Raw genomic sequence first — 26,504 nt, forward strand, 5'->3', positions numbered from 1 at the left:
TGCTTCCAGGTCAGGGAACCAAGAAATGTAGCAGGACAAGCGGCAGACAAAACTCTCAGACACCGAGTTGTAGAAGGAAGGGTGTTATTCACCTGGGAGCATCGGATAGCTACTGTCTCAAAATCCGAGCTCCCCAAGTGCACAATTTCTGTCCCTTTTAAGGGCACACAACACTAAAGATGTCACATGAAAGGGTCGTGATTGATTTGAACAAGCCAGGGATATGCGACAAGGACTACATGCACCCGTGGTCAGGGAGAAACAGAATATGGAAGGGAGTTTCACAATGTTCTTCTATACAATGTCTGGAATCTATGAATAACATCGGCTTCTAAATCATAAGTTGATTTGTAACTACTGGGTTTAGGCCAACCAGGCCCAGGCCTGGTTTTGTGCCTTTGATTTTGCTTCCTTGTTGTTTTTACTGAATAGAAAACAATATAAAACAAGAGGACAGGGTCTTTCTCTCTTCTCAATATCAGCACTGGATTGTAGAACTTGTTGCTGATTTTGGCCTGGCATTCAAGTTAACTCTTCCCCTTGGTATCTGTACATACCTTTGATGTCAGTGTTTAGTACACGTGGCTTGGTCACTTCATGGCTAAAAACGTGCTTGTGGAAGACAAGTCTGGCTTGGTGAGTCTGTGTGGTCAGCAGTCTCTGATCCGTGCAGGGTATTAATGTGTCAGGGCTGAGTGTTCTGAGATTTATCTAGAGGCTGGGAAGGGCTCCTGAACCAGTTGTTTCCGTCTTGTCGGTCTGTCAGGGTTGGAAAGTCCAAGCCATAGGACCCAGTTTCCTTTCTTAGCTTACGTTATCTACCAGAGCACCGTGGGCTGTTACTTGCCTTGAGTTGGAAGCGGTTCGCATTTATACCGGTAAATGTATTCATCCTTTTAATTTATGTAAAGTTTTTTAGTATGCAATTCTCGATCTTTTAAGAGTTGACAACAAATTTTGGTTTTCTGCTGTTATGTGAGAACATTAGGCCACAGCAACATGTCATTGTGTAAGGAAAAATAAAAGTGCTACCATATGCAAAAAAAAAAAAAAAAGAAAAGAAAAGAAACATTAATGTCTAAGAGGTCATTGAGATGATTTCCATGAGAGACTTTTTGATGTTCTTCACCAGTTAGGATTATTATTGATAATCCTTTTCAGATTATGAATAAACAGTTTGCCCTCAAGTATTTATTCATGCTACTATTTACATTGTAAAATGTGCTTCTTACAGGAATATAAATAGTTTCTGGAAAGGACACTGACAACTTCAAAGCAAAATGAAGCTCTTTTGGTTGCTTTTCACCATTGGGTTCTGCTGGGCTCAGTATTCCTCAAATACACAACAAGGACGAACATCTATTGTTCATCTGTTTGAATGGCGATGGGTTGATATTGCTCTTGAATGTGAGCGATATTTAGCTCCCAAGGGATTTGGAGGGGTTCAGGTGGGTATGATTCATAGTATCAATTGCAGAATTCACTGTGCTTGTAGTAAACACTATTCTGATCTTCTACGTGAAGCTTGGGCAACATTTTACTTCACAGGTAAGTATTCTAAGTAAAAGAATTTTCTGAGGAAAAAACAATGTAGTATTCTTTGCAACTGTATATTTTGTTTCTGATATAATCTTTCTTCAACAAGAGCCCTCCGATGTGCTGTTAATATTTTCAAGAGATAGCTGCCTATACCAAGATTCAAGAATCTTTTGTATTATTGATTAGATTCTAGAACATTCAATGATATACAGTAAGACAGAATTTGGTACTTATGAAGACTGTTTAATTTGTAGGTCTCTCCACCAAATGAAAATGTTGCCATTCACAACCCTTTCAGACCTTGGTGGGAAAGATACCAACCAGTTAGCTATAAATTATGCACAAGATCTGGAAATGAAGATGAATTTAGAAACATGGTGACTAGATGCAACAATGTTGGGGTAAGTGAATTCTAGTTTCCTTTAAAAATAACAGATAGGAAAATGATTTCTGTCTCTTCTTTCTTGCTCCTTTTGAGCAGAAAGTTTTCCATATCAGTTTTAATTTTACTTCATACTTTAAAACTCAAAAGTAACTGTCACCTTATGTTCAATTTTTGAAAATATTTGTATATGTGCTCTCTACTAAAGAGATAAGTTAAAGTTTATAGCAGAGTTTACTTCTGAAGCAAAACATCAAATTTTAACCGCTATAACTATCCATATTTCCTGGAAGGATTTTCTGGTGAGGAATTTTAATTCCAGTTACAATATTTGCTCTCATTTTTAGATGACTTGTGTCTCCATTCCTAATTCTTGGGTTTTTTTTGTGGTGAATAGGTAGCTTATCTATTTAATGAGGAGCAGAATTTGAGATGAATAGCTACCTTATTTGTCTTCCAAGCTTAGTAGAGAGTACAGGCTTTCTCCTGGTGACCCACTGAAATTTCCCAAATAGTAACCTTTTCAGTCTCATCTGAGTTGTGTCTCCCCAAAATGGGCTTTTTGCCTTTCCTCCTATTTATGGTAGTTTCCGGTTCTCTCAGTTTATCATTCCTATATATATTTGGCCAAGTGTCTGGAATGAATGTAGGTGTTTAGTTCACATTACTTTCCTTTCACAGTTGATTTTTGATCTTGTAGGAAAATAGTTATAAGGTATGAAATATTTTGGAATTTTATTAGCACACTATAAATTTAATCAATAATTCTTTAAATTTCTGCCTCTCTGTAAGTCACACTGAATTAGAAACTTTGTTTTCTAGGTTCGTATTTATGTGGATGCTGTAATTAATCATATGTGTGGTAATGCTGTGAGTGCAGGAACAAGCAGTACCTGTGGAAGTTACTTCAACCCTGGAAGTAGGGACTTTCCAGCAGTCCCATATTCTGGATGGGATTTTAATGATGGTAAATGTAAAACTGGAAGTGGAGATATCGAGAACTATAATGATGCTACTCAGGTAATTTTTTTACGAGAGTGATCTGAATAAGGAGTGATATATGCCTTTTGTTGTAGACATGTAGCTAATTGAACTTCGTTGTAAATATGAATTTAGATCTCTTAGGGACAGAGGTTAACAAGTTTGACTACTTTAAGAAACTCAAATCCATATTTGAAAACCTTTAAATATTGATTTAAGATTTTTAATCAATACACATTTGTCCACTTTTAAAAAGCTCCCAACCAATTGAAAAACTCATCGACTTTATTTCCTAAGTTCTCTATTTTCTATTAGAAAATATTTCCAAGATACATCTATAGTAGAATGTGAGCATCCCCAGTGTCCAATGCAAGGAAGTCACCATAGAATATCTCTTGAGGAATCATGGAATAAATGAATAATCAAATGGATTCTCAGGCGAAAAGTGAGGTTTTATTAATCAATCATAACATTCTTACCTCAACAGGTCAGAGATTGTCGTCTGTCTGGTCTTCTCGATCTTGCACTGGGGAAGGATTATGTGCGTTCTAAGATTGCCGAATATATGAACCATCTCATTGACATTGGTGTTGCAGGGTTCAGAATTGATGCTTCCAAGCACATGTGGCCTGGAGACATAAAGGCAATTTTGGACAAACTGCATAATCTAAACAGTAACTGGTTCCCGGAAGGTAGTAAACCTTTCATTTACCAGGAGGTACGTCAATACATATAGGCATATAAAATATCATCCTATTCATTAGAAAATTCACGGCAGATTCAATTAAAAATGCAATTTCTGTAGGATAAAGACTGAGTCATTTCCTTAAAACAGTGTTCTTTAACCTCCTCTTCTTCACATACAGCATATCTAATTCTTTATCACAACAGGTTTTATGGAGGTACACAGAATGTAGGATACTGATAATAGTTATGTCTTTATTTTCTTTGGAAAATGAAATGAGTTAATATTTATCAAAAAAAGTCAGTCAGATAGTAAATATCGTATTCCTGTGAGCTGTTATTATTATCATTGATGTACAAGACTAAAAATTAGGTAAGTATTCTCACAGGACAACAGGTAACTTTGACATTATGTTTCTTTCAATATTGTAGTGTATACTTTATCAAAAAAAGAATATAAGAATATTACCGATGAAGATAATAAGAATAAGAAAACGATTTTGAGCGTTTCATATAACAAATAGGACCAGGCGTGGTGGCTCTTGCATGTAACTCAGCACTTTGGGAGGCTGAGGCAGGAGAATTCCTTGAGGCCTGGAGTTTGGGACCATCCTGGACGATATAGCAAGACCCTGTCTCTAAAGAACAAAGCACAACAAGTCTAAAATAACTCAGAAATAGCTGAAAGCTAATTTTTATATAATATAAACTTATCGGTTAAAATGCTTTAAAGTCCTTATGCAAAATGTTTTTTTTTCCTAAATTTCTTCTAGGTAATTGATCTGGGTGGTGAGCCAATTAAAAGCAGTGACTACTTTGGTAATGGCCGGGTGACAGAATTCAAGTATGGTGCAAAACTCGGCACAGTTATTCGCAAGTGGAATGGAGAGAAGATGTCTTACTTAAAGTAAATAAATACAACTTTTCCCCTGAACTATTTCATAGATCTGTTAGTCATACTACCCCAGTGCGAGTTATCTTCTGGAACATTCTTATTCAGACAACTATTAAGGAGTCAGTTGTTAATGATAAGTATTCTAGTGCCCTAAACTCTAATCAATCATCTTTTGTATTTAGAGTGTCTGTCACAAGACAGTATGCCTAGGAACGCTAAACTTACCCTAGGAGTTTCTGTCTGCGTACAAGATGAATATACTGGATTTGACTGATGTTTGCATATAATCTTTTAAAGCCAGGTTATTATTAAAATGATCCTATCATTTATAAAGTATGTACAAAGTGTCCATGCTATTGTATTTACTTATACGAATTGGAAATGTAAAATGATTTATATTATAACAATACAATATTAAAGCCTTATTTTAATCTAGTTTGACATTCTGTATAATGTGATGTGGATATTGATCCTTCTGGAGTGCCTCTAAATGATAATGTGCTGAAACCTCTGAAAGGAAATTTTTTAATAACAAACATTTTATATTTGTAATATGAATATAAGTATTCCATACATGTATATACAAATATGGACTATATATATGTAGATTACACACGTGTGTTTGTTTATGAGGTGTGTGTGTATATATATGTGAGTGTGTGTTTGTGTGTGTGTGTGTATATATATATATCTTACAGAGTAACCATCTAATTAGAGAAAGAATTTAATCTTCAGATGCCATGCCTTACAGAAAGAGATGCACAGTAGAGTTACTCTCAAACTATTGTGAAATGATACATCAACGTATATCTTATGTTTCAAAAATAGGAACTGGGGAGAAGGTTGGGGTTTCATGCCTTCTGACAGAGCGCTTGTCTTTGTGGATAACCATGACAATCAACGAGGACATGGCGCTGGAGGAGCCTCTATACTTACCTTCTGGGATGCTAGGTAAAAAACCAAGTTCTCTATTTTTTTAACACCTCTTTTAATGATGGTATGAATATTGTGATATTCTATGATAATATAATTATGTAACTTTCAGGCTGTACAAAATGGCAGTTGGATTTATGCTTGCTCATCCTTATGGATTTACACGAGTAATGTCAAGCTACCGTTGGCCAAGATATTTTGAAAATGGAAAAGTAAGTTTTGGAGTTGTTCAAAATATCCTTTTCTCAAGAAAAAAGAGGCAATCTTCTCCTAATTTAATATGACAACTATTAAGTGTTTATTTATTCAACAAATATTTAATTATTGTAAACCTGATACAGGATTGTGATTTAGTAATGCAGGTTATATTAAAGGAATAAACTTTATATTCTCCATTGAAAAAGAATAGCAAGCTTTTTCAGAGATATGACAAACATCCCCCTAGCCCGCAGGGAAAATAAAAATAAAAATTAAAAAAACCACTTAAAAATAAGAGCTAGGCACAGGGATTAAAATATATACTTCGTACCTTCCTCAGGTTTAATTGGAAGAATATAGATGCCAACCCTTGTAGAGAACTTAAAACATCATCTGCCCGTAGTGAGAACAATATAAATGTCTTTTAAATACTGTTAAAAAGTTATATGGAATAGAAACAAATGATCCAGTTCAGCTGAGTTAAATAGGGAAAGTATACTATAAGAGGAAGGAAATTGTATGTACTAAAGGATAGAAATTTATAGAGAGTATTCCAAGAAAGGTAAGAATGAGAAAAATATTTGGGAGTATGGTAAAGACATCACTCTGCTGAGTAGTTTCAAAAAGGAACAGAGAAATAAGAGTGTAAAGATATTTGGAAAGCTAGTAGAAGGTTTTCTTTTAAACTAAAGGGTTGAGAAACAGCATCAGAGACTTCAGAACTAAAGCAGAAATTCCTCCTTCCTATGAGTCACACAGATATCTAGCTAGCTTTTTTTAGATTCCTTTCAGTTTGAGAAGTCCGCTACTATGTATAACAACTGATTCTATTGTTAAACAGCTTTAATATTTAGAAGGTGTACTTTTATATTGAGACAACTTCTTATAATTTCTACTAATTGGTCTTATTTCTGTTGTTAGGAGTCAGAGAGTTCTTTTATTTTTTCTATTACTATAACATTCCCACTTTGACAGGACTGCTGCATGCTATAAACTCTTAAGTTTTGTTCACTTTTCACCATATGACGTGATTTTAAGGTGAACACTGATAAACTTCCTAGGGTTACTCTGTGTTTTTTAATGAAGATTTCTTAAAGTGCCAATCAGAAAAGCATAATACTAAAAATATGGTCAATTTATAAAAAAAAAATGTTCAGATGTAGTATTTTGTACATTTATCTAAAAAGAAGCATGACGGCCTCCAATATTTATTTAGCATATGTCATGTTCAAGGCATTTTCACATATATTACTTAATTTTTATAGCAAAAGAACTCATTATTCTCATTTTACAAATGAGGAAACTGAGACACAGAGAAATTATTTATATTGATTAAATTTTCTCAGCTACTAGTAATAGAGCCTATGTTTTAATCCTGGTGTTTCTAGTACTAATGCCCTTCCCATTTCAATGCCATTGCATGGCTTACAGTGATGTTAAGAAGCCCTTGCAGGCCAGGTGCAGTGGCTCACACCTATAATCCCAGCACTGTGTGCGGCCAGCTGAGAAGGTCAGCTGACCTGAGGAGTTCAAGACCTATCTGGGCAAGCTAGCAAGACCTTGCCTCTACTGAAAATTAAAAAAAAAAAAAAATTAGCTGGGTGCGGTGGTGCACACCAACAGTCTTAGCTACTTGGGAGGCTGAGATGGGAGGTTCGCTTGAGCCTCGGAGATCAAGGCTGCAGTGAGCTACGATCATGCCACTGTACTCCAGCCTGGGTGACAGAGCAAAGAAGTCTTTGCAGTGCCTTGGAATGAAAAGGAGAGGATAACAATTTGCTACCTTTGTTTGAAATATGGCAAAAGAGAACCAGAGGATAGAGAGATGATGAAGACCCAGTAAAGGGCTATAAAAATCAATGAAGGCATTGGATTCTAGATAAAGTCACTGAATGCAGAGACACAAGTAACAGGATAGGTTGGGTTTGGTTTAAAGGAGAAGGAAGAGATAAATATATATATGCTAAAATTTGGCTTTTCCTCCTGTAATTAAGGATGTTAATGATTGGGTTGGGCCACCAAATGATAATGGAGTAACTAAAGAAGTTACTATTAATCCAGACACTACTTGTGGCAATGACTGGGTCTGTGAACATCGATGGCGCCAAATAAGGTGAGAATATGTATTTAGACATGTCCTCTAATAGTAAATTTCCGTAGCACTTTATTTAAAACAGTTGAAGTTTAAGAATATCAACGTTTTATATGGTATTGTGTTTTTAGGAACATGGTTAATTTCCGCAATGTAGTGGATGGCCAGCCTTTTACAAACTGGTATGATAATGGGAGCAACCAAGTGGCTTTTGGGAGAGGAAACAGAGGATTCATTGTTTTCAACAATGATGACTGGTAAGTAAATATCAATTAAAAATAATATTTTGTACCAGTATGTTCTTGGTTTATTCTTTTTTTTTTCTGTTCATTGACATTTATCATATCTGAAAAATCATGTAGTCAGTGGAGCGAGAAGACAATAGAGATCAAAATTGGGTAGAAGCAAAAGGATGATGGCTGTTACTCCTTCGTTCTCCTGTTTTCATAAGTGCTTTCTGTTGTAAGCAGAATCCTTTCTGTGCACCCTTGCAATATCTTATGCATATATAGAATGCACATTCATATGCTTACCTACACATGCCACAAAATACACAAAGTAATTAATAGAAGGATTGTGAAATCATTAAAAGAACGTTTCTTATAGTCCTGCTCTTTTAATCATGGAAAAATGCTGCCTCAGTACTAAAATATCTTTATTTCTCTTTTTCTCAATGACAGCTCTACCTAGTTTTTTGGTATACTTTCTTCACTTCTCTGTCTCCTTGTGACAAATAACATTTTTAAAGCATATGGATAAATAATATGTATCTTGTGGTTAATGATTTGCTTCAGGAGACTTGAGTTTTAGTTCTGAAACTTCTCATTATTGGCCTTTCATCTGTGATTTTTGTATCCTTTGGCTGTAGTATAAATGATTCCCGAAACTGTAGCTGAGAAGACCTCCTTGCAAACAGTTGAATTGTCTCTGTCCAAGGCCAACTGACACTCATACTTAGCTCACTCTAGTATAAATTATACTTCACTTATGAAAAATAAATAAATACAAAAATATATAAGTCAAGTTGATCTCTTTCCTGCCAAAAAAATGCGTGTCTATTTCCTTAGTTTCCTTCTTTTGTGGATGAAAATACCAAAAAAATCTTTTGTGAAAAAGCTTTATATTTCAAACTATCACTTCCTCATACAAATGCTAGACTGTTTTTATGTACACCCTAAATTCTTTTTGACCTCATGTAGAATAAAAGAAGGTTAAAAAAATAATACCCTTTAAATTTTTAAAGTAATTGGCATTAAGTTCAGTTGAGAAAAAATTTGATTTTACCAAGGTAGCACTTTATCAAAATGTGACCGCTCCCGCCAATCTTCGGTGATATTCTTCAACTTTGATTTTTCGGTTATATTTTCACTACTGAAAAGGAAATTGGTAGGTTTTCTGTAAGGTTACTTTTGGTCCTAGAAAGCTGTTTACACCTACTAGGGAGGCATATGGGTTTTCTTCTTAATGAGACTTCACTGCTTAGGGTTCTAAAACATAAAGTTATGCTGTTTATTTGTGTTAGTCTGTATTCTTGATTTCATTGTTTTGAAGTTAAATCTGAAATTTTATTTTACAGGACATTTTCTTTAACTTTGCAAACTGGTCTTCCTGCTGGCACATACTGTGATGTCATTTCTGGAGATAAAATTAATGGCAACTGCACAGGCATTAAAATCTACGTTTCTGATGATGGCAAAGCTCATTTTTCTATTAGTAACTCTGCTGAAGATCCATTTATTGCAATTCATGCTGAATCTAAATTGTAAAATTTAAAATTAAATGCAAATCCGCAAAGCAATAGCTAAGTGTGTTTCTTTTCTTACATATACAGTAATAGTTACATATCATTAATTTTAAATAAAAGCTCTAATTAGTAAAAAGAGGTTTAAGACACTTGATAGTATGAAATACAATTCCAGGTTACACATAAGTTATTTATTTTGGCAAAAGGATGACTCAAAAATTTTAAAACTAGGCAACAATCTTTACTCATTAAGAGGTAAGACTTAGCTTTCCAAACAGTTTGTCTCCTGTCTACTCTTTTCTCTCCTTGGCATTCTACCAACAAGGCAAACCAAATATTTCATTATTCTTCTCTATTACATGAAAAATCTGTACAAGGGAAGGAAAGCCAAATTTTACCCTTACATAGGTTTCAAAAGAATCCTTTTTCCATAGGCAACATTTACATTTTTATGCCTTTTTATAATCTTTTACCACAAACACATTTAAGTGTTCCTACACACCTTGCATGTAAATTTATTTTTAGTTGTCTTATTTACATATTTTTATGGTCAATCTTAGCAATTTTTAACTTTAATGTAAACCTGGTAAGTTGTTTTAATTATGTACTAGATGCAGATAAAGTCTGACTTTTTCCATTCTAGTTAGGGCATGGTTAATTTCATATGTCCCCAGGCCTTACCAAGTTGTAAAGTAGGCAGCCTACAACCTTGAAATATTTAGCAAGCCTTTTATCTAATTTATGTGATTTAAACCTGCTATTTACATATTGATGATATTTGCATTTTCCAATTTGATCTTTAAAACAGTTTTTATTTCTTAGAGTTTAAAAACACATAAACTAAAAGGCATTACGGTTTTAACTTTCCTCTAAAATATTTGATTTAAGTGCTTATTTTTATTTAAGGCAATCAATTGGTCCTCGTTACAGACATCACACACAACACATATATTGCTACACAGACAAACAGAAGAAGATCCAGTAGCTCTAAGATTTCTTCTCGTCCCATTTCCTAATTGCATTACTGGCTTCCCAGTAGAGCCCTTTAAGAACAGGGATAGCAAACCACGAAGTTTCTAGGGCCTAATCAACTTGTATAGCTGTAAGACAAAAACAGATTTTGAGCAGGATTGATCAGCCTCTAGATTCTGGGATTCCATGAGGAAAACAGAGGTTTCTCCCAAAATGGAATCCATCATGCATTTTCTGTTTTTCCCAAAACGTTTCAGGCCACCAGAAGTTATCTTGTGTGCATTAAGAGTGGAAAGACAGAGTGGAGAACAGTAATTCAGTCAATGGAAAAGTTCTTTTCAAGAAAAACACGATCCAAGAAGACAAAAACATGCAGGTCTTTTAAATATACCTATAACTTGAATATCCACTTTTAATCAAGCTCAGCACCCTTTCAGAAAATCCTTTGACATCTTCTGTTTCCTGACTTTAGCTAAATCAAGCAGGTAATATTTCTGGCTTTTGAATTTTACCAAAGGTAACATCACAGGGGAAACTAAAAACTCTCCGTTAGGTTATAAGTTCACCGTTAGTATACAAGATATTTTATAAGTGGTGGTAAGCAGCTTTTACCAGATCTAGAACCTTTAAAGTCAGTTGAGAGAAAGGAAGATTTCAGAAAGGCAGTTAGAGTTTTTCATGGCGGAGCACGAGATGATTAAACGTCACACAGTTGTTAACTGGAAAGTATTCATCACCCAGGCTGGGATTGAACCTGGGTCACCATTGTAAAAAGGCAACGGCTGAAAAGTGGTACTACCACATGGTTACAGGTTATGCTTAAGGACATAAAACAAGTCGGAGACATGCAGCAAAGTTTGTTACTGACCAGTTTATGAGGGTGTCTTGAACAGTGAGCTCAAGGAGTCTCAGGCCTGGATTCCATTCCAAGGTACCCTCTGTCTGACTTTTTCTTCTATTTTCTCTCCTTTTCCTGAGCCTCCTCCTAGTACGTCTTATGAAAGACTGAGGTGGCTACTCTTAGAAGGTTTTCTAAGGTGCCTTCTAGTCCTATAGCCTGTTTCTGTAGCTTCCTTCAAATATCAGGAGCTGCTTGAGTAAACCTGTCTTTCAAGATGAGCTGTCCCTCAATTGAATTACGAGATAGGGAAGCATGTTTTGCCAAAGTCTCTCTCAGCCTTTATAAAAAGGCTGAGGGATTTTCATCTGGGTTTTGATCTATCATGGATAGCTTAGAGTAGTTAACAGGTTTGGCTCTGGTCCCCTGTAAGACTTCTACCGTATACATCTGAAAGTGTTTCTATTTTTCAATCATCTATGGGCTTAGTAGAGTTCCAATTAGAGTTTTCAAGGGATACTGCCTCTTTTCCTACTGGGAATGGGGATTCTGCCTGTTTCTCACCCTCTTTCCCTTTTTGACTGGCTATAGGAAACATGCTGCTCATCTCTGATTTTTTCTGCTACCTGTAGGGCTGCCTGTCTCTCAACAGCAGTTAGGGTTTCAGAGTAACATAACATCCTTCTAGGAGAGTTTAAATACTTGGGTTATATCCTGGAAGGCCTCTATACATGAGAGAAGTTGGCACTTGCCCAGAGCGAACTTCAGGCTCTGAAGTCTAAAGAATAACTCAAGGGGAATGCAGGCTTGAAGATGGGGTGTTACCCATGCATAAAAAGAGGGGAGTAGAAGGTGTCCCTTAGTCTCCTTTCAACTTTTGAAGTGACCCAGGTTGAAGAGAAAGATTACAGGGGTGTCCCTCTTCTCTTTCCTCCCATCTCCTTTGGGTCCTGGCAACCATCATAGGTGCAGCCCATGGATGCAAGCATGAATTGCACCCATGTATCTGGAGGTGCTAGTTGGCAGGGGTAGTCATGCTTACCAGCACAATGCCTCATCTCACTGCCCTTCTGGGTTCCTAGGCCTCCCAGGAGATTGTACAGTAGATAAAGTTGGGTGAGACACTTTAACAGAGGGAGTGTTTTAACCCTATTCCTGCTTCCTCTAGCTATGGCCCTGGAAAAGCAGTGCATTCCCAGAAAATTTTACCCATTGCCTTTTAAACACAAAATCCCCTTTCTGATTAAATGCCAATGTTGTTGGAAGCAGAACAGGTGCCTCAAAAGAACATATGGATTTAATGGCTGTCCTCCTTCTGATGGGAACAGCACTGAGGCTAGAATTTGTCTCTCAAGGGTGGCTTCCTCCCAACTGTTGAATGCGGAGTTTTTTTCCCTACAAATGGGGCATAGAGTCTGCTTGCTGACAGAGGAACACAAAAGTGGAAGAAATCTGGGTATTAGAGGTTTTTGGCAAAGGGCCAACAAGACTCTATGCAGAAAAAAATCCTATCTCATGAGGTGGTGCTGTAGGTTTTGAAAATTTAGGTAAAATCTGTGACTCTAAATATTGATTAAAAATCTTAAATCAATATTTGAAAGTTCTTAAATATGGATTTGAGTTTCTTAAAGTAGTCAAACTTGTTAACTTCTGTCCCTAAGAGATCTAAATTCCTATTTTAAATGAAATTCAATTAGCTACATGTCTACAAGAAAAGGCATATATTACTCTTTTATTCAGATCACTCTCGTAAAAAAATTACCTGAGTAGCATCATTGTAGTTCTCGATATCTCCACTTCCAGTTTTACATTTACCATCATTGAAATCCCATCCAGAATATGGGACTGCTGGAAAGTCCCTACTTCCAGGGTTGAAGTAACTTCCACAGGTACTGCTTGTTCCTGCACTCACAGCGTTACCACACATATGATTAATTACAGCATCCACATAAATACGAACCTAGAAAACAAAGTTTCTACTTCAGTGTGACTTACAGAGAGGTAGAAATTTAAAGCATTATTGATGCAAGTTTATAGTATGTTAATAAAACTCCAAAATATTTCATGATATCTTATAATTATTTTCCTACAAGATCTAATTCCTATCTCTAGTGTTCTTACTTTCCCTACCTCACTATGTTGTAAAAGTTAAGAAGCTATGATTCATAACAGCATTTTTACAGAAGAGCTGAGTCTTTTTGGGCAGTGCCTCTAAGGTAAAGGTGTAATCACAGCCTCAAGAAAGTATCCGTAAAAAGGAATCAAATAGAACAAAAGGAAGTTTTCCTACTTATATACAGCTGAAACTCATTTCATTAAAGGAACAGAATAATTTTATGTGGGAAATATTTTCACCTTTGAGTGATGTTCTGACAGATGAAAGATTTGGGGGTACAAAAATAGAAGACTGTATTATGGCAAGGATACAAATTTTCTAAATTGGGATAAATACCCTACTTCCAAAAAACCAAAAGCCCAATAAAACTCAATGCCAGACAAGTATAAAATAATTATAAAAAAGATTACAATAAAAAAAGTGAAACTGCATTGATATCCATGTAAGAATTTTTAAAGGCAGTTTTTATAATCATAAATAAAATATATTATAAAATTGCCTTAAAAAGAAATTATGTAATCATCTAGTTATGTTCTGCTGCACATCTTAAACCAGGTAAACAAAAAATGCAAACACTATTCCATTGGAAAGAAAACAATTTATTATATCTGAGGAAAGTCATTACAATACATGTAATATATTTCCAATTTACTGATTTAAAGGCGTATGGATTTAATTTTTAAATACACTTTCAAAGCTGTTATGCACAGTTCCATAGTCCAGGTGGTCAATTTCTTCTTCTCAAAGTTGCAAAGCACTTGAAGGACATGGGAATCCAAAGAAACCTAAAAACATCATAAAAGCCCATTAAAAATAGTAAGTATAACACAGGTCATTAGTTTAAAAATAACTGAGAGCTGAACCATTTATATTTAGAAAATTAGTGAATCATGTCAGTTTAACAAAATTTATGTAAATGAACTGCTTATAAAGAAACTGATTTATAACATTTACAAAATCATTTCAACTATGCCTATAGAAAAATAATTACATTTTCAATATCTATAGGTTTTGTACTTTTAAGGTGATAATAACCAAATTTTCAATTGTTTTCATAGAACTAAGAATAGTATCAGATTTTTCAACAAAGAAACACAGAGGCGCCAACCCTTTATTTTCCTAGTTATTAATATCAGGTTGGGTGCCTATGTTGATACTAGGTACCTAACCATTTTACTCTAACAAACGAGTATCCAAACTGCTCAGTCCTTAGAATTACTAAGGAAACCTTTTCAAATCTGATTCTGATACTCCATTCCCAGAGATTCAGTTGTATTAGTTCTAGGATAGAGTATAGGAATCTTAATTCATAAAAACTCTTCCTTGGTGGTTCTCAAACTTGGTTGCACATTAAAATCAGCTTGAGAGGTTCATTCCAACATCTGTGCTACACTCTCAACACATCAAATGAAAATTCTGACCAAGGGAACCAGGCATCAACACATTTCTTAAGGACTTTTTTAGGAGGGAGAGGTTCTTACTCTGTCAACCAAGCTAGAATGCAGTGGAGTGATCATGGCTCACTGCAACCTCAACCTCGGGGGCTCAAGTGATCCCCTTGCTTTAGTCTCCCAAGTAGCTGAGACCAGAGGTGCAAGCTATTTATTACTAGCTATTTGTCCAAAGGTAAATAAATGAGTATATCAAAGAGATAACCACACTCTCATATTTATTGCAATATTCACAATAGCAAAGATATGAAATCAACCTCTGTCCATCAATGGATGAATGAATAAAAACAACATGGTATATATATACACAGTAGAATACTTTTTGTCCATAAAAAAGAATGAGATTTTATCATTTACAGCAAGATGGATGGAACTGGAAGTCATTGTGTTGGGTGAAATAAGCCAGGCACAGAAAAACAAGTATCACATATCCTTATTCTTACATGAAAACTAAAAATATTGATCTCATGGAGGTAGAGAATAGAATTATAGATAGATACCAGAGGCTGGAAAGTTTCTCTGGGTGGGAGGAATAAAGAAAAGTTTGTTAATAGGTCCAAACATACAATTACTTGGAAGACATATGTTCTAATATTTCATAGCAGAGTAAGGTGACTACATATAAACAGCAATGTATTGTATATTCCAAAATAGCTAAAGGACTTGAAATGTTCTTAACATATGGAAATAATACTTGAGATTATGGACACCCTGGTTACTTTGATTTGATCATTATAAAGCTTAGGCAAGTAACAAAATATTACATTTACCCTATGTGCATGTACAACTATATTAATGAAAAAATAGTCTTCTACAATAAAATTTTATTATTGTTAATCTAATTGAGAATTCATGATGATTTAAAGATTATTTGGCAAAAATGTTGCCTGTGCAAAGCAAGCTTTCCTTCCTATGTTGTGCAAATTATTAAAGTAATATAAATATGTATATAACTTCAAAAAATGATATTTCAAAATATTGTTCTACAACACTCAAGCTTTTAATGTCACTGATATTATGTTTTCCAGTAACAGGTAATAATTTAGCACTCCCTGTAAGTTAAGTTCTCTATTAGCGTATTTATTTTTTCCAACAAACTTACAGACTGGATATTTAGGTCCAAAAACTTTAAATAGCTTGTCTCGCATTACTTAGCAAATATATTGTATTTTTGAGATCTGACTTCAGACTCTATCTGTTGTATTACGCTAGTACTCCAATGCTAATCTCATTTTAATCCACTACAGGAGAACTATTTACTCTCTCTCTGGAAAATTTTAGCACAGCTTTTTATATGATTTTCTGAAATACATATAGTATTATTTATATATATATTATTATTTATATATTATATATAAATATATATAAATATACATAATATATAATATATAAATAATATTTCTATCAAGTTTATTTTTTATCTATGCATATTCTTAAGCTCCTAATTTTCTTTATCGTATTTTCCCTAAAATGTATTCAAACTCAACTTAATTAGATTTTTAGTTTTATGGTGGTATAATTCACAAATTAAAATTATATATATTCAACGTGTACAATGTGAGGTTTTGAGTTTTTTTTAATTAGCCCTAGTTGAGAAAGGCAAATGCTTAATGGTACATACTAAAAAGTATTCAGGACAAGGCTGCTTAACATAAACTTGCTAATTACCAATCAATAGACTACTCAAATGCTTTTTTGATAAACAAAAGCTACAATTGTAGGTAGCGTATTTTTACTGGTTTCCTTTACACTGAAGCATTTTTTCAACTAATATATATCTTACAAATAGTAAAATACATAAATCTTAAGCATATAGCATTATAATTTTTATAAGTGTATATATCCCTATCACCACCACCCAAATCAAGCAAGATATGGACGATTTCCAGCTCCCACACCCCTGGCTCTCGCACTTTCTCAACCAGTTACTCACCAATGGTCATCATTATCATGAAATCTATCACGATGGATTTCCCTACTCCTCAATTTCATATAAATGGAAACTTGCTGTATGTAATCTTTTGAGTCTGACTTGTTTCACTCAGTTGAAATTTGTGAGAATCATCTATGTTTTGTGTAGCAGCAGTTCATTGTTTAATTGCTGTGTGGTATTCATCGCGGGAAGCAAAAGTAATTTATTTATTCATTCTACTGTGAATGGGCATTTGTGTTGTTTTTAGTTTAGAAGTTATGACACATCAGTGATTTTATTTGATAAGAACCCTAGGAGTTGCTGAGTTATATAGAATTGATTGCCTTACACATGTTGTTTACGTTTTGCCTACTATTTTATATATTTCATCCTTGATCTGTTTGTCTCGCTACTGTTTGGAACAAACCTGGAGCTCCTTATAGGAAATTGATATCTTTTTTTTTCTTTTCTCAACTTCTATTTTAGGTTCAGGAGGTACATGGGCAGGTTTGTTACGTGGGTAATTGCATGTTGCTGGGGTTTGGTGTACAAATGATTTCATCACCCAGCTAGTGAGCATAGTCCCCAGCAGGTAGTGTTTTGACCCTCACTCTCCTCTCACCCTGCGCCCATCAAGTATATTTTAAAAGGACTTTCACAATCAAGCTAATTAACATATTCATGTCTTCACATAGTTATCATGTGTTGGGAAAGGGTAATAGTTAAGATCTACACTCAGTGAACTTAAAGCATACATTATTACTAACTATTTTTACCCTGTTGTGCATTAGACCTCCATAACTTATTCATCTTATAATGGCAAGTTTTCATTGTTGTACCTGTAGTATTTTTCATTCTCTGCCTGGCTTATTTCACTTGGCATAATATCCTCTAGGCTCGTTCATTTTGTTGGAAATGGCAGAATTTCATTCTTTTAAATACGGAATAATATTCCGTTGTAGATAGATAGATAGATAAATAGACAGATAGATGATAGATATCATAATTTACATACCTACTCATCTGTCAACACTTAGATTGTTTCCATATTTTGGTTTTTGTGAATAAAGCTGCAATGAACACAGGAATGCAGATATCTCTTCAAGATAGTGATTTTATTTCTATCGTATATAAAAGGAAAAGTATATAAAAGGTATATACCCTTTTTTTGAGATGGAGTCTCACTCTGATGCCCATGCTGGAGTGCAGTGATGCAATCTTGACTCATGGCAACCTCTGTCTCCCAAGTTCAAGCAATTCTCCCTGCCACAGCCTCCCAAGTAGCTGGGATTACAGGTGCCAACCACCACGCTGGGCTAATTTCTGTGTTTTTTAGTAGAGATGCGGTTTTGCCATGTTGGCGACTCTGGTCGTGAACTCCTGACCTCAGGTAATCTGCCTCCCTCACCTCTCAAAGTGCTGGGATTACAGGTGTGAGCCAACACACCCACAGGTATATACTTTTATGCCTAAAAGTATAATTTCTGTAACATACGGTACATCTTTAATTATTTGAGGAGTGTCCATGCTGTATTCCATAATGGTTGTACCAATTTACATTCCCACCAAAACTCTATAAGTGTTCTCTTTTCGACACATTCTTGTCAACACTATTTATCTTTTGCCTTTTTGATATTAGCTATTTTGAAAGATGTAATGTGACATCTCATTTTGATTCCAGTTTATATTTCCCTCATGTTTAGTGATTTTGTGCACCTCTTCATTCATGTGTTGGCCGTGTGTAAATCTTCCTTTGAAAAAATGTCTATTCAGGTCTCTTGCTCATGTTTTAATCAGGTTACTTTTTTTCTGATTATGAGTTTCTTATATGTTTTAGATATTAATGCATTATCAGATATATTGTTTTCAAGTACATTCTACCATTCCATGGGTGACTTTTTATTTATTTATTTATTTATTTATTTATTTACTGTGCCACAATCTTTTAGTTTGATGTAGTTGTATGTGTTTATTTTTGTTTATCTTGTCTATACATTGGGATTCATAGCCAAAATATCATGCCAAGGTCAATGTTATGGAGGATTTCCCCTGTTTTCTTCTAGGGATTCTTTGGTTTCAGATGTTATGTTTAAATTCCTTTTCAATTTTCAATTTATTCCTGTGCATAGCATAACACTCCAATTTCATTCTTTTGCATGTGGGCCTCCAATAATTCCAACGCTATTTATTGAAGAGACTATCCTGTCTCCATTAGGTGTTTTGGGCATGTTATTGAAGATTCTTTGACGATATTGGTGTAGGCTTTCTATTCTGCTCCATTCTTCTATGTGACTGTTTTCATACCAGTATCATATATATATATATATATTACTGTAGTTTAGTAATATAACTTGAAAGTGAGAAGTGTGGTACCTCCTACTTTGTTCGTCTTGCTCAAGATCAGTTTGGGTAATTATAGTCTTTTGTAATTTCATACAAATTTTAGGATTTATTTCTGTTTCTGGAAAAATGCCATTGGACTTTTGATAGGGATTACATTGAATCTGTAGATTGCTTTGTGTAATAGCATTTTGACAATATTAATTTCTCACATTGATGAACACAGAATGTCTTTCAATTTCTATTACTTTTCTACTCTCTATTTCTCTATTTTGCTTTGATCTTTCTTATTTTCTTTCTTCTATTAACTTTGGGCTTAGTTTGCTCTTCTTTTTTTCTAGTTCCTTGAGGTTTAATGATAGATTGTTTATTTGAAATATTTGTGTTTTTTTTAATGTAGGTGTTTGTCATTTCAAATTTTCATCTTAGCACTGTCTTACTGCATCCCACAAGCTTTGGTGTATTGTGTTTTCATTTTTGTATCAAGATTTCTTTATTTTCCTTTTTATTTCCTTTTTAAACCACCAGTTTTTAAGAATTGTGTTATGTTCACTTCTTTTTGAATTTTCCAGTTTTCCTCCTGTTAATTGATTTCTAGTTGTATACCATTGTGGTCAAAAGAGATACTTGATAAAATTTCAATCTTCTTAAATGTATTAAGACATTTTGTGACTTCAAGTATGCTCTATTTTAGAGGATGTTTCTTGTTAGCTTGAAAAGAACACCTGTTCTCCGGCTGTGGATGAAATGTGAACATACATCTGTTAGGTCCGTTTGGTCTAAAGTGCAGATCAAGTCTAATTTTTTTTTCCTAACAGATTGTCTGTCTAAATGATCTATCCATTGTTGTAATTGGAGTATTGATAATTTCAACAGTGTCAATAAGGTTACCTATATCTGTAGTATTATTGATTGCTCTGTATCTCTCCCTCCAGATATTAATGTTTGCTTTACATTTTCAAGTGCTCTAATGTTAAGTGCATATTTATTTATAATTGTTTCATCCCTTTAATCAACTCATCCCTTTATCATTATATAGTGACCATCTTTATCACCTGTTAGAGTTTTATCTTAAGGTATATTTTGCCTGATATAAGGATAGTTATCCATGTTGTTTTTTTGTTTTAATTTGCATGGAATATCAAATTTTCTCATCCCCTAAATTCACACCATATGTGTCCTTGAAGCTGAAGTGAGTCTCTTGTAGGCAGTATATTGTTGGGTCTCCTTTTGTAATCCATTCAGCCACTCTGGCTTTTGAATGTAGAATAGAATGAATTTATCTTCAAGGTAATTATTGATAGATAAGAACATACAATTGACATTTTGTTCATTGCTTTTCAGCCTTTTAACATATTTTTGTTCCTTTATTTCTCCCTTGCTGTCGTTCTTTGAGATTTTATGATTTTCTGTAGTGACATGCTTTGATTTCTCTTTGTCTTTTGGGTATCTACTATAGGTTTTTGCTTTCCGAATAGCATGAAGCTTATACATACTATCTTGTAGTTGGAGCAAACTATTTTAAACTGAGGTTTGATCATATTCAAAACTCTATACTTTTACTCAGCCCACTATATTTTATATATTTGGTGTCACATTATATATTTTTAATATTCTATATCTATTAACAAATTATTGTAGCTATAATTATTATTATTTTGGATTTTAAGCTTCATACTAGCAATAAAACTGATTTACACACCACTACTACACTATTAGAGTGTTCTGTATTTTTTATATATTTACCTTAATCAATGAGTTTCATACTTTTCTGTGCTTTCATGTTGCTCTATAGCAAACTTTTGCTGCAAATTCAGAAATTCTTTAAAATAATTATTTTGAATTCTTTGTCAAGAAGTTTATAGATTTTTGTATTTTTGCAAGGTTTTTCATGTCAAATAATTGTTTTAAAGGAGAGTAATTAGTTACAAGAGAATAAATAGGCAATTCAACCAAAACTTGAAAAAAAACAAAACACAAACCAATTGAGAAGTTCCACAGACAGATTGAAAAAATAGAACCCAAACTAAAATTCTAGAGCTAAAGCATAAAATAAATGAAATAAAGAATGTAAAATGAAGAATCAACAGCAAAATTGAGCAAGAAGAAAGAATCTGTGAATTTGTTTCAGTCAGGAGCAACCTGCAAAGGGTATTTCAGAGATAAGATCTCTTCATCCTAGAAAATATCAGTAGTCTCTTTCACCACAAGTTCAGCTGACAAAGAGACTAAACCAGTTCATCTTCCTTCTAGTCTTATTCCTCGGCCATTTGCCAATAAAGAGAGTGAATAGATTGAAGGTCAACTGCTTTAATTACGTCCTCACACTGCTGAATGAAGTTTGTTCAACAATTGCCAAGCTGATCATCTAGCATATTCTTTGCTATTGCTTACAACACGTCCTGACTTCTAAAATTAGATTTGTACATAGGCTCAAAGCCCAGCATATCCCAGTAGCTCACTGTTCAAAGTAATAAATATTTGATTAGGTCTTTAAGGCTAAAGACCTCAAAATTTCTAAGAAGTTTGTGCCATAGACAAAATCTGTTGGTTATTTTCTTTATATATAAGTCCACCTTTTACTGTATTAGTATTTCTATACTGGTCCTTTTTTTTTTTTTTTTTTTTTTTTTTTTTGTGAGATGGAGTGTCACTCTATCTCCCAGGCTGGAGTGCAGTGGTGCAATCTCCACTCACTGCAAACTCCGCCTCCCAGGTATGGGCCATTCTCCTGCCTCAGCCTCCTGAGTAGCTGGGACTACAGGCACCCACCACCATGCCTGGCTAATTTGTTTTGTATTTTTAGTAGAGACAGGGTTTCACCATGTTAGCCAGGATGGTCTGGATCTCCTGAACTCATGATCCTCCGGCCTCAGCCTCCGAAAGTGCCGGGATTACAGACGTGAGCCACCGAGCCTGGACTCTATACTGGTTCTTATAACTTATTTGGGCTGGAAATCTCATAGTTTTAACATAGATGAAGGGGTTATTTTCCTATAGATTTTGATTTTTTTGTTACATTCAATTTTTATTAAAGGGGAGTTGGAGTGGAAATACTTTTGCTCTGCATCTTCAAATACAAAAAATGAAACATTTCAAAAGACCTACCATGCCATAACTGAAATTTCTGTGGTTTGAAGAAATCTACCAAAAAAAAAAAATTGCTTCAACTATATATGTTTGATTTTTTTGTGAATTAGCTAAAAGTTTTGTAAGACTTTATATTAACTTTGGAAAGATGCGAAAAGCTTTTGAAAAGCAAATGATTACATTTCTAGTTATTGTTTTGAATTCTAAAAGTGTGTGAATGACACAGGCAAATATAAGTGTAAAAACAAGGGTAAGAAAAGGAAAACCACAACTGATCTTTACATTCACTTTTAACTATTTTAAATAAGAATCATCAATGGAGTTCAATTTTATGGTCAGTGATAAGGAATTTAATTCACTTCAAGAAGAGAGCAAAAAATACTGCATTAGATTATGTAGGCATTTTAAAAATATATACTTTTGGTTAATATTTTTATATATTTTGGATTAACTAGAGAATCAAAGGTAAAATTATCCTAAGGCCTAAGAAATTATTGGCCAGTTTCCACTAAATGATAAGTTTTCTGGAGAAAATGCAATACCTGTTTTATCTTTTTACCTCTCATATCTAGAATTATACATTGCTGGTGGTGTGCATTGTACTGCTGTCAATTTGTGATAGAAATATTTAAACAATGTTTTGCATTTCTCTGATGGCCAGTGATGATGAGCATTTTTTCATGTGTCTTTTGGCTGCATAAATGTCTTCTTTTGAGAAGTGTCTGTTCATATCCTTTGCCCACTTTTTGATGGGGTTGTTTGTTTATTTCTTGTAAATTTGTTTGAGTTCATTGTAGGCTGGAGAGGATGTGGAGAAATAGGAACACTTTTACACTGTTGGTGGGACTGTAAACTAGTTCAACCATTGTGGAAGTCAGTGTGGCGATTCATCAGGGATCTAGAACTAGAAATACCATTTGACCCAGCCATCCCATTACTGGGTATATACCCAAAGGACTATAAATCATGCTGCTATAAAGACACATGCACACGTATGTTTATTGCGGCACTATTCACAATAGCAAAGACTTGGAACCAACCCAAATGTCCATCAATGGTAGACTGGATTAAGAAAATGTGGCACATATACACCATGGAATACTATGCAGCCATATAAAAGGATGAGTTCATGTCCTTTGTAGGGACATGGATGAAACTGGAAATCATCATTCTCAGTAAACTATCACAAGGACAAAAAACCAAACACCACATATTCTCACTCATAGATGGGAATTGAACAATGAGAACACATGGACACAGGAAGGGGAACATCACACTCTGGGGACTGTTGTGGGGTTGGGGGAGGGGGGAGGGTTTAGCATTAGGAGATATACCTAATGCTAAATGATGAGTTAATGGGTGCAGCACACCAGCATGGCACATGTATACATATGTACTAACCTGCACATTGTGCACATGTAACCTAAAACTTAAAGTATAATAATAATAAAACAAAGAAATATTTAAACAATGTTTTTAAATAATATTCTCCTAATTAATTAGTATTTCTCAATTACAATGTCAGTGTTTTCTTTTCATTTATACCATGTCATTTGTCACTAAAGACCCTAAATATTCTTTCTAATGAGTTAAAAGAACATGAATAGCAAATTTTCAGCAAAACAATACTTGTCAAACAGAAAGATGGAAAAAGAAATCCTATTTAGTTTAAAATACAGAGAGGACTGACACTGATGGAATACAAATGTCTAAGAAAGAAGTGTACAGAATTCCTATAGTAACACTGAATTTTTGTAAAATATACCTCCAGGAACAGAGGCTCCATTTTAGATATCATTGTGTGTGAAAAGCATTCTTTCTTAGCAAAGTTCCAATATTCCTCTTCAATTTCAATATGACATTTTATTCTAAGGTTAATAGATATTACTAATGTCCTAATTGTCCTAATATGTAGAATATCAGCTACAACAAGACAAGAAATATACAGCAGATAATTCTGTGGCTTTAATGTTATTGCGAGACTAACAGAGAAATCAATTTGGACTCAATGTAAGATCTTCATACATTCAGTCCCAAATAAGTCCCAAATAAGGCATTGCCATTGTGAAAAACTTTGAGTTTAGGTCTGGTAAGATAAGTTACTAAATATTAATAATAATCACAGCACTCTGTTAAGGCACATATCTCAAAATATGTCTAAAATGTAAACATTGTAACAAGTGCTATATATTTGGACAACATTATAAATACATTTGGATGACTGAGTGAAACATGTCGGTTTCCAGCAGAATTATTTATACGTGTGTGCCAGAGGACAGGGAGCTTGGAGCAGTTCTAGGCACTGAAGCAAGTTTAAAGCAACAACCCCAGACAGTCCAAAAAGGAGGTAAATAATGTGTGTTTTAGTCTGTTTGGGATACAATAACCAAATACCATAAATTGAGTGGCTTATAAAAGCAGAAATTTATTTTCCACAGTTCGGGAGGCTAAATTCAAAATCAAGCAGATTTTGTGTCTGGTGAAGACTAACTTCATAGTTCCTAGAGGGCAGCTTGTGGCTGTGTCCTCATTTGCTGGAAAAGGCAAGCATCTTATTCATAATAGCACTAAAAAGAGTTCCACTCCCAAGTTCCTAATACTATGCCCTCAGGTGTTAAAATTTCAACATATTACATTTGGGGGTGCACATTCAGACCATAACAATGTGTGATTATTGAAATAATTCTAACAGTGTTGTCATTACTAACAGCTAATGATGGATTCATTGAGACTTCTGAAGTGTTCCTGCTTGCCTACAGGGTTTACTATAATACATACATATATATATATATATATATAGCAAGGAAACTGCAATATATATATACTGTAATGTATATAGTAATATATTTCTTGTTCTGAGAATAAGACAAGATCATGAGGTTGTATCCTAGAATGAAGTTTAATGCCTATAAGATTCCAAGAAACGTAATCCATGTAATCAGAAATGTTTTATTTCTTCATGGTGGATTTCTCGACATGATCAGAAGCTGTACTGATGGTATAATTCAACTAATGAGAAAGACTGCAAGAGTCAAGAACTTTCTTCTTCTCAAGAGATTGAGAAACCATTAGGGAAAAAATCTCATAAAGAAAGAAAGGCAAAACTTTGTCAAAGGATAAAGGACAACAAATGATTCTGAGATCTAAATAGTGTCTCTTGACCTCAGACTTGTTGTTCTTGTTGTTGTTGTTGCTTGGCAAGTCCACAGACTGATGGTTAAGGCCAGAGAAGGAAATTATGCATACAAACTGAAAATCTTTGTCATAAATTTGGATTAAAAAGCAACAATGATTTGAGACCTAACGTAGCACATCACTGTTGAGGGAAAGAGATTCTTCACAAACAAAACAAGACTTTGGCATACAAAGAGCTTCCACCCATCAGTAAGTAGATGAGTTCCATTAGTGGTTTTGCCGTGAAAGAAGAACTTCAATACAGCATGACCTTTTTACAAAAAGCATTAGCATCAGCAGGAAAGAGACTGTTCCTATACTGATTAAAAGGCAATTTCACCTGGCTGCTTAACAGGCACCTCAGGAGCCATAATATAAAGAAGGAACATAGCTGGTACTGCATGATTCTGAGGAATATGTTCAGACATGAGATATGGTACCCAGCCCTTCAGATAGAGAATTTGGAGGCATTGAAAGCAAGCTGTAAGTGCCACAGTAATAAACGGTGTCAGTCTTAGACACACAATGAAACATAAAACTTGGAACTCATTTTCACTTAAATCTGGAAGTTAATACCTCACTCGAGAAACAAAGCTGCTCTTTAAAGAACACATTCTATTCAACAAGGCTGCACTTTCAGGGAGAATAACAGATTAATTACTCATGAGTCCAGGATATGATGAACAATTAAGATTACGTGGAAATAGAAGACCCTGGAGACATAAAGGGACATGAGGGACATATATGTGTGAGAGAAGGTGAAAGTGAGTACAGAGAAAAACAGTTTTGGAGAAAGACTACAGAACAAAAGAAGCAGTCAGTTAGGCTGGGTGCAGTGGCTTACGCCTGTAATCCCAGCACTTTGGGAGCCTGAGGCAGACGTATCAACTGAGGTCGAGAGTTTGAGACCAGCCTGATTAACACGAAGAAACCCCATCTCAGGATCCCTTGAAGCCGGGAAGCGGAAATTGCAGTGAGCCAGGATCGTGCCATTGCACCACAGCCTGGGCAACAAGAGTGAAACTCCATCTAAAAAAAAAAAGAAGCAATTGGTGTTAGGATAAATGCTTTGGCTTTTGAATGACAAATACAATCGAGCTGACTGAAGTACAAAGAAATCTGTTAGGCTTTCTAACTGGGATACGTAGGGATACAATATATTA

General features: G+C 34.6%; 1 protein-coding gene and 1 long non-coding RNA gene across 3 annotated transcripts; one reads left to right on the top strand and one right to left on the bottom strand.

Annotated features, from left to right (window-relative positions):
- Positions 1-468: 468 nt before the first annotated feature.
- On the top strand, positions 469-9,504 carry AMY1A (amylase alpha 1A). 2 transcript variants are annotated; one of them, NM_001008221.1, is made up of 11 exons: positions 469-636; positions 1,235-1,448; positions 1,794-1,940; positions 2,744-2,941; positions 3,390-3,620; positions 4,360-4,493; positions 5,310-5,432; positions 5,527-5,626; positions 7,607-7,725; positions 7,836-7,961; positions 9,281-9,501. In NM_001008221.1, exons 2-11 carry the CDS (start codon positions 1,281-1,283, stop codon positions 9,468-9,470), a joined length of 1,536 nt encoding a protein of 511 aa, NP_001008222.1. In that variant the 5' UTR covers positions 469-636; positions 1,235-1,280; the 3' UTR covers positions 9,471-9,501. The 2 variants fall into 2 exon arrangements, with proteins under 2 accessions (NP_001008222.1, NP_004029.2); NM_004038.4 differs by lacking the exon at positions 469-636 and adding an exon at positions 710-878 and having other exon boundaries at positions 9,281-9,504.
- A 4,448-nt stretch (positions 9,505-13,952) lies between these two features.
- Positions 13,953-26,221, bottom strand: LOC124904594 (uncharacterized). The gene is made up of 2 exons (XR_007067035.1): positions 26,186-26,221; positions 13,953-14,159 (listed from the first exon to the last, which is right to left on the bottom strand). It is a non-coding gene; the product is annotated as an uncharacterized LOC124904594 (long non-coding RNA).
- Positions 26,222-26,504: the final 283 nt, after the last annotated feature.

The sequence above is a fragment of the Homo sapiens genome, chromosome 1 (assembly GCF_000001405.40).
Source record: "Homo sapiens chromosome 1, GRCh38.p14 Primary Assembly".
Taxonomy (NCBI): domain Eukaryota; kingdom Metazoa; phylum Chordata; class Mammalia; order Primates; family Hominidae; genus Homo; species Homo sapiens.